The 13993-nt window shown below is 42.2% G+C and overlaps 1 protein-coding gene across 6 annotated transcripts in view; it reads right to left on the reverse strand.

Moving 5' to 3' along the window:
* The window catches only part of GSR (glutathione-disulfide reductase), a 49781-nt gene continuing 36196 nt past the window's right edge, over window positions 409–13993 (reverse strand). For 4 of the 6 annotated variants that reach the window (NM_001195102.3, NM_000637.5, XM_047421727.1 and 1 more), the window contains 5 exons: window positions 11504–11662; window positions 6431–6542; window positions 4273–4404; window positions 3247–3380; window positions 409–2012 (listed from right to left, as the gene is read on the reverse strand). In NM_001195102.3, coding sequence (NP_001182031.1) covers window positions 1863–2012; window positions 3247–3380; window positions 4273–4404; window positions 6431–6542; window positions 11504–11662 — 687 coding nt within the window. In that variant the 3' untranslated portion in view covers window positions 409–1862. The remainder of the gene's footprint in view (window positions 2013–3246; window positions 3381–4272; window positions 4405–6430; window positions 6543–11503; window positions 11663–13993) is intronic. The other 2 variants (NM_001195104.3, NM_001195103.3) reach the window with 1 other exon arrangement.

Below are 13993 nucleotides of genomic sequence, written 5' to 3' on the forward strand. Positions count from 1 at the left end.
GCTACTCAGGAGGCTGAGGCAGGAGAACTGCTTGACCCCGGGAGGCTGCAGTGACCTGAGATCACACCACTGCACCCCAGCCTGGCGACAAAGCTAGACCCTGTCTCAAAAAAAAAAAAAAAAGTATTCAGTAACACTGGATGACTAATGAAAATCCTGGAAAAATTTAACTAGCTGGTAAAACCTAATAGAAATAAAGTGTTAAAGACCTAAGTGATTTCTAGGCTTTTCTTCCAACTCAATCATTAATCTGCTAAATGTTTCTTTTATACCTTCGATCTTTATTTTTATACGAGAACTCTCTTTTCACCCCCGTAAGCACAGGCAACTGATTCTCCAATGTGAAATATCCTTAGAAAATAAACCAATTTCCTGTGTACCAATTAAAGCTCACAGTAACAAATTTTATAAGAAGAAAAGGCTGTAATTTTATTTTCAAATTTTTGGAAGTTTTTCAGAAAAAAATAAAATGACAAGAACACATACAAATATTGAAATTATTCATTGAACTATAAACACTTAGCAGAGGAAGGGACTTTTGATGTATTTGAATCCACCTCCTTCTGAAAGCAGGAATCACTTCTAAATGTCTCTCATATCTTTCTTCAAGGAGTGGTTTTCCAGGAGGTTCCCAGCCTCCTCAAATCTTTCCCAAGTTTGATGCACTTCACCTCATAAAAATAATATATATATATATATATATTTTTTTTTTTTTTTTTTGAGACAGGGTCTTGCTCTGTTGTCCAAGATTGAGTGCAGCAGCATGATCAGGACTCACTGCAGCCTCACCTCACCCAAGCTCAAGTGATCCTCTCACCTCAGCCTCCCAAGTAGCTGAGATTACAGATGCACATCACCACACTCGGGTAATTTTTTTTACTCTCTGTAGAGATGCAGTCTTGCTATGCTGTGCATGCTGGCCTCAAACTTGTAGGCTCAAGTAATCCTCCTGCCTCGGCCTCCCAAAGTGCTAGAATTACAGGCCTGAGCCACCGTGCCTTGCCACAAACTATTTTTAATCATTAAAAAAGAAAAAAGAAAATAAGGCAGGCCGGCTTCTCACATTACATGCTTTTAGAAAAAGGTCTCATCCTTGAAGCAGCTTTGTTATATGCAGAGCACAGTACTGGCTTCAAAAAATATATAAAGGTTCTGTGCACTGGCACTGTTTACATGTGAAGAATTGCCATCAACTTCTGTGAAAATTAGCAAGCTGGCACAGTGGCTCACGCCTGTAATCTCAGCACCTCAGGAGGCCGAGGTGGGCGGATCACCTGAAGGTGGGAGTTTGAGACCAGCCTGACCAACATGGAGAAACCCCATGTCTACTAAAAATACAAAATTAGTCAGGCATGGTGGTGCGTGCCTGTAATTCCAGCTATTCGGGAGGCTAAGGCAGGAGAATCACTTGAACCCAGGAGGCAGAGGTTGTGGTGAGCTGAAATAGCACCACCGCACTCCAGCCTGGGCAATGAGAGCAAAACTCTGTCTCAAAAAAAAAAAAAAAAAAAGTAGCAAGTTCTATTCATTCAAGTACATTAAGTTAATTGTACTTCACAAAGCTTTATATTTGGGATGAGGCTAAAACAGAAAAAAAAAACTAGCACAGAGCTGTTAATAAAAAAAAAACTTGAAAATATTAATTACTGTGAGATGTGATCAAATGAAAATCAATCCTGGATAACACTACAAATTTCTAACTCCATAAATAAGTTCTATTATGTACTAAAAATTTCCACTATCAGAAGATCCTGATTAAAATAAAGAAATACATAAAACTCAAACAGTAAGTCAATGTGATTATTTGTTTCATTTCAGAAGATCTATGGGTCCCACTGCCCGCCACACGTGTCTCCTGGTTCTCAACGAAGTGTGACCAGCTCTTCTGAAGAGGTAGGGTGAATGGCGACTGTGTTGTCAAAGTCTGCCTTCGTTGCTCCCATCTTCACTGCAACAGCAAAACCCTGCAGCATTTCATCACACCCAAGTCCCTGCATATGGATCCCAACCACCTGGGAAAAGAAGAGAAACATTTTCTTTTCTTTCTTCTTTTTTTTTTTTTTTTGAGACGGAGTTTCACTCTTGTTGCCCAGGCTGGAGTGCAATGGCATGATCTCGGCTCGCTGCAACCTCCACCTCCCGGGTTCAAGTGATTCTCCTGCCTCAGCCTCCCGAGTAGCTGGGATTACAGGCGCGCACCACCACGCCTGGCTAATTTTGTATTTTTAGCAGAGAGAGGGTTTCACCATGTTGGCCAGGCTGGTCTTGAACTCCTGGGCTCAAGTGATCCACCCACCTCAGCCTCCCAAAGTGCTGGGATTACAGGGGTGAGCCACGGTGTCTGACTGATATTGTGATCTTAATTGAACTTATAAAGAGCCTCTGGTGATGGCCAGCTCTTCATATTATTCCTCTCTATATAGCAGTTCTTAGTCTTGAGAAGAATGACAAATAATGTTTATCAACTGAATGAATGATAACTGGCATGAAGAAATAACTAAGTAGGAGCCTTCATGATTCAATATCCAGAAATCATAGGCTACTGAGGAATGTTCATGGCACCACCATGCCCGGCCAATTTTTGTATTTTTAGTAGAGATGGGGTTTCACCATGCTGCCCAAGCTACTCTCAAACTCCTGAGCTCAGGCAATCCGCCTACCTTGGCCTCCCAAAGTGTTAGGATTATAGGCGTGAGCCACAGCGCCTGGCCCTGGCCTCTCCTGTTTTTTTTTTTTTTTTTTTTTTTTTTGCTTTGAGATGGAGTCTCGCTTTGTCTCCCAGGCTGGAGGGCAGTAGCATGATCTTGGCTCACTGCAACCTCCGCCTCCCAGGTTCAAGTGATTCTCCTGCCTCAGCCTCCCGAGTAGCTGGGATTACAAGCACGCACCATCATGCCTGGCTAATTTTTGTGTTTTTAGTAGAGACAGGGTTTCACCACGTTGGTCAGGCTAGTCTCAAACTCCTGACCTCAGGTGATATGCCTGCCTCGGCCTCCCAGCGTGCTGGGATTACAGGTGTGAGCCACCACGCCTGGCATCGTCTTTATTTTTTAAAAGGAGTGGAACCTCCTTCTAGATGAAATATTATGAAGAACCCCAAAATGCAGGTAAGACAGATCAAAGTGGGCCTGTCCAGTTGAATCAGAAGGCTCAACTGCTTGGTCTCCCTCCTTTCCACCCCTGCAAAATACTGCCATCCCTGTCCATTTTGCAAGGCACTATTTAGTTTGCTGGATTTTTCCTTACCTTTTCTTCCTTGTTAGCACAGACCATTTTCATCACACATTTTGTTTTCCTTTTGGTAACTGCGTGATACATCGGGGTAAAGCTCGTTGAATAGGTCTTCACATTTTCTATTCCATATTTATGAATGGCTTCATCTACAATGCACATTAAAAAAAGCATCTATCAGAAAACTAAACAATTACACTGAACTATCAAAGAGGGAGATGACCAGAAATACATAACCTCAATCAAACCACGAGGAAATATCAAACCACGCCAAAATGAGAAGTATTCTACAAAATAAATGTCAGTGTCATATAAGACAAAAGAAGGGCTGAGGAATTCTGCCTCTAGATGAAAAGAAAGGCCAGGCACAGTGGCTCATGCCTGTAATCCCTGCACTTTGAGAGGCAGAGGCAGGTGGATCGCTTGAGCCCAGGAGATTGAGACCAGCCTGGGCAACACAGTGAAACCCCATCTCTACAAAAAATTAGCCAGGCATGGTGGTGGTGCAGGCCTGGTAGTCCCAGCTATTCGGGAGGCTGAGGCAGAAGAATTGCTTGAACCCAGAGGCGGAGGTTGCAGTGAGCAGAGATCGTGCCACTGCACTCCAGCCTGGGTGACAGTGGGAGAGCTTGTCTCAAAAAGAAAAAAAAAAAGAAAATGATACTCGGTTTATGTAAGGGCCAGTTCTTAGGAAAGATAGACATGTGTGTGTGTAGAGTGAAAAAATAAAAAAGCAAAAATATTAAGGTTAGAGAGGAGTCCTTTGTATTATTTTTAGAGCTTTTCTTTAAATTTAAAATTAGTTCAAATAAAAAAGCTAAAAAAAAAAGATCAAAGAGATAGGGTGGTGTGAAGGAAAGATACTGTACACTCAAAGTAGTAGCAGGGGAGAAAACTGGAACTGTGACAAGAGAGTAACCAAAAAGCAATGTAATCTGGGGCTGAGATAGGTTTCATCAGCTGACAGAGACCTAATTTAAAGTTGGGGGCAGGGGAAAGAGGAAGGAAACCACAAATGACCTTCAGTTTTTAAATACCTACCTTCCGTGAGTCCCACTGTCCCAATAGGGGGGTGGCTGAAGACCACAGTTGGGATGTTGTTATAATCTAATTTGGAATCTTCCTTATATTCAAAAAGTCGATGGGCAAGTTTTCGGCCAGCAGCTATTGCAACTATGGAGATATTTTAAAATCAGTGTTTATCTTACTGTCTGTTTTAACATAGCTAAATTGTTCCACTAGCCATTTATCCATCTACCTTAATGCCCTAGTTCTGACAGTTTCACACCATTGTTCATTACACTATCTAGATAGTTTAATACAGCGAAGATATGTCATGCCTCAGCGAACAACTCAAAATGATTGGCTTATGAGAATCCTATACATTCTATTACAGGTTGAGCATCCCTAATCCAGAAATTCAAAATCCAAAATCCAAAATGTTGGAGCACCATGATGCCACAAGCAGAAAATTCCACACCTGACCTCATGTGAAGGGTTGCAGTCAAAAACGCAGACAAAAGTATGCCTCATGCACACATTTAAAATATCGTATAAAGTTACCTACCAACTATGTGTATAAGGTGTATGTAAAACAAATGAATTCCGTGTTTCGACTTGGGTCGCATCTGCAAAATATCTCATTATATATATGCAAATATTCCAAAATCTGAAACTGAAAACACTTCTGGTCCCAAGCATTTCAGATAAGGGATGCTCAACCTGTCTGGCCCCACTCCCAAAAGACACATTCACAAGTTCTCACTTACCTGGCAGTTAATCTACTTAATGAAGATATTAGCTTTTTAATACAATATTTATGGAACAAGCTATATTAGTTTTCAGCATCTTTAGTTCTATTTTATAACCCTAAAGTGCTGGAATTACAGGCATGAGCCACTGCGCCTAGAATCTTTATTATTATTATCATTATTATTATATTATTATTTTTTTTTTTTAGACAGAGTCTCGCTCTTGTTGCCAGGCTGGAGAGCAGTGGCGCCATCTCAGCTCGCTGCAACCTCTGCCTCCCGGGTTGAAGCAATTCTCCTGCCTCAGCCTCCCAAGTAGCTGGGACTACAGGCGTGTGCCACCACGCCCAGCTAATTTTTGTATTTTTAGCAGAGATGGGGTTTCACCATGTTGGTCAGGAAGGTCTCGATCTCTGGACCTCGTGATCTGCCCACCTCGGCCTCACAAAGTGCTGAGATTACAGGCGTGAGCCACCGTGCCCAGCTGAATCTTTATTTTTTTAATACAGACAACATCTCACTATGTTGCCCAGCCTGGTCTCAAACTACTAGACTCAAGCGATCCCCCAACTTCAGCCTCTGAAAGTGATGGGAGCCACCACACCTAGCCAAGAGCAAGAACTTTCTAAAGGAGCTAAAAGGGTTTGGGTGTGTGACTGGTGTAGGTTTTCATCCTGATATAAGGCCCTGGGACACGCTGGAATCGCTGATGAGGTTCTAGGTACAGACTGAAAGTAGATCAAGTGATCATTAATGGATAGAGATGGGACAGAGCTTGCAATGGTGCTTAGGAAGCGGGCTGAGGTGTGGGATGCCGGAGAGAAGGAAATCAGTCTTGGTTGTATCAAGACCAGTCATACAAGAATGACAATCTAGGCCATGTGTGGTGGCTCATGCCTGTAATCCTAACATTCTGGGAGGCTGAGGCAGGCAGTCTGCTTAAGCACAGGGGTTCAAGACAACATGGTAAAACCCTGTCTCTACAAAAAATGCACCTGTGATCCTAGCTACTTGGGAGTCTGAGGTGGGAGGATCACCTGAGCCCAGGAAGGTTGAAACTGCAGTGAGCCCGTGATCATGCCACTGCACTCCAGCCTGGGTAACAGAGTGTCTCCAAAAAAAAAAAAAATGCCAATCTAAATTACTTCTTCCAAATGCCACTTCCTTCCACTGCCACCAAGCACAAGTCTGCTCCTAAGAGAGTTCCGCAACGGGTGATCATATTGTCTACATGAAAACTTCAGTCTGTGCTAAGCATTTTAAGTCTTTTATTCAGATAATGTCAGGTATCCAACCAATATCTATTTCAACACATTGTACCATTTTGACAATATAAAGACACTCATCCTTTTAACTTTGCTTAAGCAGACTGCAGATTTGACAGTGAAGAGCCAGATGGATCATGTAACACGCAGACCCTCCCTCACCAAGAAGGGAAGAGACCTTACCTGGAGTAAGAAGAGCTTTTCCACATACATCCCCAACTGCATAGATGCCTTTGACGTTGGTATTCTGGAATTCGTCTACGATGATATGACCCTTGTCATCGGTTTGAATCCCCTAAAATTACAAAGAGATATCATGTAACCACTTGGCCCACCTACTAAAAAAGGTAGATCAAACCTCTGGATCTCCCTTCCTCATTTCACATGGGAACTGCAGCCAGAATCTCCAAGAAACCATGAGACTCAGCTGCAACACGAAAGGCATTTACAGCTGGCAAGTTTCAAGCTGGGTACAGTGGGCCCACACCTGTAACCCCAGAACTTTGAGAAGCCGAAGAGGGAGGATCCCTTAAGCCCAGGAGTTTGAGATCAGCTTGGGCAACACAGTGAGACCCTGCCTCTGTTAGAAATTAGAAAAAAAAAAGTTGGCAAGTTTCATATCTTGCTTAACATAAAAGGTAGTATTTTATCCACTTTTGAGATGTTTTAACAGGATTTGACATTGCAATGTACAATTCAACTGGCCAGGCAGACATGAAGAGGATCACTCAACTATCAGGTGTGCCACTTGGAATCCCTCTGGAGTCCAGCTTTTCAACTTGTCCCATGGAAGCACTGCTCCTGAGGAACACTGACTCAAGCAGTCACCAAAAGCATATCTATGTTTATTTAGTTTTTTTTTAGAGACAGGGTCTCGCTCTGTTACCCAGGCTGGAGTGCAGTGGTGTGATCATGGCTCACTGCAATCTTGACCTCCTGGGCTTAAGCAATCCTCCTGCTTAGCCTCCCGAGTAGCTAGAACTAGAGGCATGTGCCATCACACCTGGATAATTTTTTAACATACATTTATTTATTTATTTATTTATTTATTTATTTATTTATTTATTTATTTATTTATTTATTGAGATGGAGTCTCGCTCTGTCGCCCAGGCTGGCGCGATCTAGGCTCTCTGCAAGCTCTGCCTCCCAGGTTCACGCCATTCTCCTGCCTCAGCCTCCCGAGTAGCTGGGACTACAGGTGCCCGCCGCCACACCCAGCTAATTTTTTTGTATTTTTAGTAGAGACGGGGTTTCACCATGTTAGCCAGGATGGTCTTGATCTCCTGACCTCGTGATCCACCTGCCTCGGCCTCCCAGAGTGTTGGGATTACAGGCGTGAACCACCACGCCTAGCCTTTTTAACATTTTTTTATAGAATAGGTCTTGCTGTTTCCCAGGCTGACCTCAAACTTCTGGCCTCAAGTGATCCTCACGCCTAGGTCTCCCAAAGCACTGGGGTTACAGGTGTGAGCCACCATGCCTGGCCAAAAGCACATTTCTATGAAGCTTACCATTTTGTCTTTAAAAATCCAAGCAACTTTTGCACTCTACTCTAAAACATACTGATGTTTTTTTCAGACTCCCAGAAGAAAAGTAAAAGCAAAACAAAACAAAAACACATATTGATGTTTCCCTTAACCAAAAATATTTTCCTATATGTAGTCAAATTTTTGCTTTAAGAAGACATGTTATGCTTATCATGTGGCTTTGCAAATCCTAAGTATATATGAGAAGTAGAGATATGGCAGAAGTAGGAAGTAAGTAGCCACAGAGCTTAAGAGTACAACTGGCCAGGCGCAGTGGTTCAGGCCTGTAAATCCTAGCACTTCGGGAGGCCAAGGCGGGCGGATCACCTGAGGTCAGGAGTTTGAGACCAGCCTGGCCAACATGGTGAAACCCTGTCTCTACTAAAAATACTAAAAATTCGCCAGGCATGGTGGTGCATGCCCACCTACTTGGCAAGTCCCAGCTACTTGGGAAGCTGAGGCAGGAGAATCACTTGAACCCAGGGGGCGGAGATTGCAGTAAGCTGAGATGGCACCACTGACTCCAGCCTGGGCAACAGAAAGAGACTCTGCCTCAAAAAAAAAAAAAAAAAAAAAAAAAAAAGAGTACAACCTTTGGTACAGACAGACCAAAATTCAAATCCTAGCTCTGCAACTTACCGGTTATGAGACCTTGTATAACCACCTGTTTATCAACAAATATTTAAGCTTCTATTACAAATGAGACTTTGACTTCATCACTGAGAATACCATGGTAAGACAGACATTCTCCCTACACCATAGAGTTTACAGCCCAGTAAATTATCTAGTATCTCTGTGCTCCTGGCTTCCTTATACCTTGCCGGTTGTTGGCAAGATTAAATTAGATTAGTAACATGTTGACAAGACCTAGCACATAGTAATCACTCAATTTGCATTATATAAATATATCTTAATGTCAAATGAGACTGAACCTTTTTTTTTTGCCTCATTCTTCAAAAATTTAGCAAATATAGGCTGGGTGCAATGGCTCATGCCTGTAATCCCAGCACTTTGGGAAGCTGAGGTGGAAGGATCGCTTGAGCCCAGTTCAAAATTAGCCTGGGTAATACAGCGAGACCTTGTGTCTACAAAAATTTTTTTTAAAAATTAGCCAGGTGTGGTGGACCACGCCTGTAGTTCCTACTACTTGGGAGACTAAGGTAGAAGGATGGCTTGAGCCCAGGAGTTTGATGCTGCAAGGATGCAGTGAGCCATGATGGCACCACTGTACTCCAGCCTAGGTGACAGAGCAAGACCCTATCCAACCCCCCCAAAAAAAGTTAGCAAATTTAGTTGAAAACTGGACCTATCAGTGCTTACATCTGTACAATGGCAAAATATCTCTTGAAAGGTGAAAAGCTGAATGACCAGTTTTTTGTTGTTGTTGTTTTCTTTTGGTGTTTTTTTTTGGTTTTTTTTTTTTGAGACGGAGTTTTGCTTTTGTTGCCAGGGCTGGAGTGCAATGGCGTGATCTCGGCTCACTGCAACCTCAGCCTCCTGGGTTCAAGCGATTCTCCTGCCTCAGCCTCCCAAGTAGCTGGGATTACAGGCATGCGTCACCATGCCTGGCTAATTTTTGTATTATTAGTAGAGACGGCATTTCACCACGTTGCCCAGGCTGGTCTCGAACTCCTGACCTCAGGTGATCCACCCGCCTCAGCCTCCCAAAGAGCTGGGATTACAGGTGTGAGCCACGGCGCCTGGCTGACTAGTTTTGTTAATATGAAAATAGGCAATTAATTTTACTAAATGTCATTGAATAAGATTACAAACAATCAAAACATCTCCCTGAATATTTTATAAGTTAACATGCAGAAAAATGACCTTTTACAGAAACAGAAAAGGAATCCACATTACAACAGGAACTTAGTATTAGAACATAAGTCAAAAGGTATACACTGCTCAAGCAGCTCTATCAAATATATACGCCTCAGGCTGGGCGCAGTGGCTTACGCCTGTAATCCCAGCACTTTGAGAGGCCACGGTGGGTGGATCACCTGAGGTCAGGAGTTCGAGACCAGCCTGGCCAACATGGTGAAATCCTGTCTCTATTAAAAAAATACAAAAATTCGACGGGCGTGGTGGTACACGCCTGGAATCCCAGCTACTCGGGAGGCTGAGGTAGGCGAATCGCTAGAACCCAGGAGGCAGAGGTTGCAGTGAGCTAGATCACAACACTGTACTCCAGCCTGGGCAACACGGCAAGACTCTGTCTCAAAACAAACAAACAAACAAACAAACAAACAAAAAAACCCAGAACAAAATAAATATATGCACCTCAAACATAAAATATCCTATTATTACTAATAGAGTAGTATAGCATATCAGAAAAATCATCATCATTATCAATAGCAGGTGAACATTCATTGTGTTCATAATGTAAGCTAGGGTCTCAGTTATAAATTACTTTGCATGCACTTTTTCATTTACTCTTCTGTATAACCCAATGAGGCAAGAACTTTTTTCATTCCCATTGTGAATATGAACCACTTGAAGCAGAGAAATTAAGCTGCTTGCTCAAAGCCATGCAACTGTTATGTTGTAAGAACTAAGGTTCAAATTTGGGTCAAACTCTGGGAACCAAACCCCAAGCTCCCATTCTAGATTTTACTTCAACATTTAAAAGAACAAGTAAGAATGCCAACTGTCCACAAATACAGACAGCACGGGTAGAGCCAAGAGAGACAGCTTCACATCTGTTCCCATCCCTGTGTACAATGTACAAGACAGTTACCCACCCAGCAATCTGGATTACCTACTACAGATGCTAAAAGATCAGCATAGGACTTGAAAGAGACATTCACATAGCAAAAACGAAGTCTGTAAGAGGGAGGCCAATAGGAAACTAGGTTAGAGGTGGCAGGCCGGCTGGGCATGGAGGCTCATGTTTATAATCCGAGCACTTTGGGAGGCCGAGGTGGAAGGATCACTTGAGGCCAGGAGTTCAAGAGCAGCCTGGGCAACATAGTAAGACTCCATCTCTACAGAAAACTTAAAAATTAGCCAGGTGTGGTGGCACATTCCTGTAGCTCCAGCTACTTGGGAAGCTGAGGCAGAAGGATCAGTTGACCCCAGGAATTCAAGACTGCAGTGAGCTATGATCATGCCACTGTACACTAGCCTGGGTGACAAAGCAAGACCCTGTCTCAAAAAAAAAAAAAAAAAAAAGGAAAGAAAACAAAAAAGAAAAAGGCCAGACGTGGCGGCCTTTTTCTGGGACATGCTGGGACATGCCTATAGTCCCAGCACTCTGGGAGGCTGAGATGGGCGAATCGCTTGAGCCGAGGAGACCAGCCTGGGCAACATGGTGAAACCTCATCTCTAAAAAAAATAAAAATAAAAAAATTAGCTGGGCATTGTGGCACACACATAGTTCCATCTACTCCAGAAGCTGAGGTGGGTGGATCACTTGAGCCTAGGAGGTTAAGACTGCGGTGAGCTATGATCACACCACTGAACTCCAGCCTGGGTGACAGAGCAAGACCTTTCTCAAAAACAAAAAGAAAAAAACAAAAACAGAAAAGAAAGGAAAAGGAAAGAAGAGAAGAGAAAACTTTTTTTTTTAATTTCAAAGGAAGAAGCAATGAAATTTGATCACAAACTGAATACATGGGAAAAAGAGAAAAGAATCCAATGGAATCCACCCAAGTTTTGGGTGTCTGGGGGGAAAATAAAACCATAAGACTCCTAGTAGATTCACAAATGTTTCGGGCAGACCAAGCCAGCTTACCAGTTTGTTTAAACTCAGGTCCTTGGTATTCGGGACCCGCCCAATGGCCCAGAGCAGGCAGTCAACATCTGGAATCATGGTCATGACTGGTAGCCTACCGGGAACTGCAGTAACCATGCTGACTTCCAAGCCCGACAAAGTCTTTTTAACCTCCTTGACCTATTGGCAAATAAAATGTGTTACACATGTGTGGAGGCTCAGGGAGGACAGGGGAAGAAGGAAAGCAAATACAGAGGAAACTAGAATTTTTAACATTAAAGAAAATCCCTACTGAATCCCACATACAAAGATAGACATAAACTTTTACCCAAAGGCCACCAACACTTGAACTCCCTTAAACCAAGCCTGTTCCCTGGGTTGACCCAAATCTTCCAGTCAGTGGCTGGGAATGTCAGCTCATGACACCATTGTAATGCCTCACTTTAAAAACAAAGTATTTTAAAGTGTACTTCTGGAAAAATGTAATAACATTTTAAGTGGTAAACCTAAGCATAGTGCTTTGAAAGTAGGCCACGGCAGCATCACTAGGAAACTTTTCAAAACTGCACAATTAGTGCCTCTCCCTGGGTATATACGTGTGTGTGTGTATATATATATATATACACACACACATATATATATAAAATAAATATACGTATATTTATATATAAATATATTTATATATGTAAAATAAACATATGCATATTATATATAAATATATTTATATATAAATATATGTATATTATATATAAATTATATTTTTATTAAATATATGTATTTAATGTTTTTATTAAATATATGTATTAAATATATGTATATTTTTATTTATTATATATATAAATGTATATATATGTATATTTATATACATATATTATATAATACGTATATTTATATATGTATATTATATATAAATATACATATAAATAAAATATACATATATAAAATATAAATATATAAATAAAATATACATATATAAATCTATTTATATAAATATACATTTACATATAAATAAAATAATATATTTATTTATTTATTTATTTATTTATTTTTCTTTAAGAGACAGGGTCTTGCTCTGTTGCCCAGGCTGGAGTGCAGTGGCAAGATCAGCCTCCTGGACTCAAGCTCTCCTCCCACTTCAGCCTCCTGGGTAGCTAGGACAACAGGCACGTGCTACCTCATCTGGCTAATTTTTAAATTTTTCATAGAGATGGCATCTTGTTATGTTGCCCAGGCTGGTCTCTAACTCATGGCCTCAACTGATTCTCCTCCTGCCTTGGCCTTGCAAGTGCTGGGATTACAGGTGTGAGCCACTGTGCCTGGGATCTCTGTATATTCTTAATTGGAATGAAGGAAAGTAAGACTTGGGTTTGGAGAGTGGAGAAAATAAATAGTTTACTGAAGGTCCTAAGGTGGTTATGATGGTAGCCTCCTCCACCAGCCGAGCATTTTTACATTCACAATTTTATTTGATGTGGTCTATACTGAAAAGGTGAGGCTGTGTGGGGGAAGGGAAGATCATTTTTAAAAGGCTAATTCTCTAGGAAAATACTGCCTGAAATTCAAGTGATTGCTTGAGGAATAAAGCACTTTGTAATTCTTTCTAACTACAAAATTCAAAGGGTATGATTTAAAATTAGATTCTAGGCTGGACATGGTGGCTCACACCTGTAATCTCAACACTTTGGGAGGCCGAGGCTAGAGGATCACTTGAGCTCATGAGTTTGAGAACAGCCTGGGCAACATAGTGAGACTCCATGTCTACAAAAATTTTTTTTTTAATTAGCCAGGCATGGTGGCATGCACCTGTAGAAGCTAGGTGGGAGGATTGCTTGAGCCCAGGAGTTGGAGACTGCAGTGAGCAATGATCATGGAACTGCACTACAGCCTGGGCAACACAGCAAGACCTTGTGTCAAGAAAAATAATTTTAAAAATGAAAGATAGAGGCCAGGCATGGTGGCTCATGCCTGTAATCCCAGCACTTTGGGAGGGTGAGGTGGGCAGATCGCTTGAGACCAGGAGTTCAAGACCAGCCTGCCAACATGGTGAAACCCATCTGTACTAAAACAAAATACAAAAATTAGTTGGGCTTGTTGGCAGGTGCCTATATTCCCAGCTGAGGCAGGAGAATCACTTGAACCTGGGAGGTGGAGGTTGCAGTGAGCTGTGACTGTGCCACTGCACTCCAGCCTGGGTGACAGAGCAAGACCCTGTCTCAAAAACAAAACAAAACAAACAAACCAAAAAACCCAAGAAAGATAGGCTGGGCACAGTAGCTCACTCCTGTAATCCCAGCACCCTGGGAGGCTGAGGTGAGCGGATCACTTGAGGTCAGGAGTTGGAGACCAGCCTGGCCAAAATGGTGAAACCCCGTCTCTACTGAAAATACAAAAATTAGCCAGGCATGGTGGTGCGTGACTGTAATCCCAGCTACTCAGGAGGCTGAGGCAGGAGAATCCCTTGAATCTAGGAGGCAGAGGTTGCAGTGAGCCGAGATGGCACCACTGCACTCC

Source organism: Homo sapiens, chromosome 8 (assembly GCF_000001405.40).
Source record: "Homo sapiens chromosome 8, GRCh38.p14 Primary Assembly".
Classification (NCBI taxonomy): domain Eukaryota; kingdom Metazoa; phylum Chordata; class Mammalia; order Primates; family Hominidae; genus Homo; species Homo sapiens.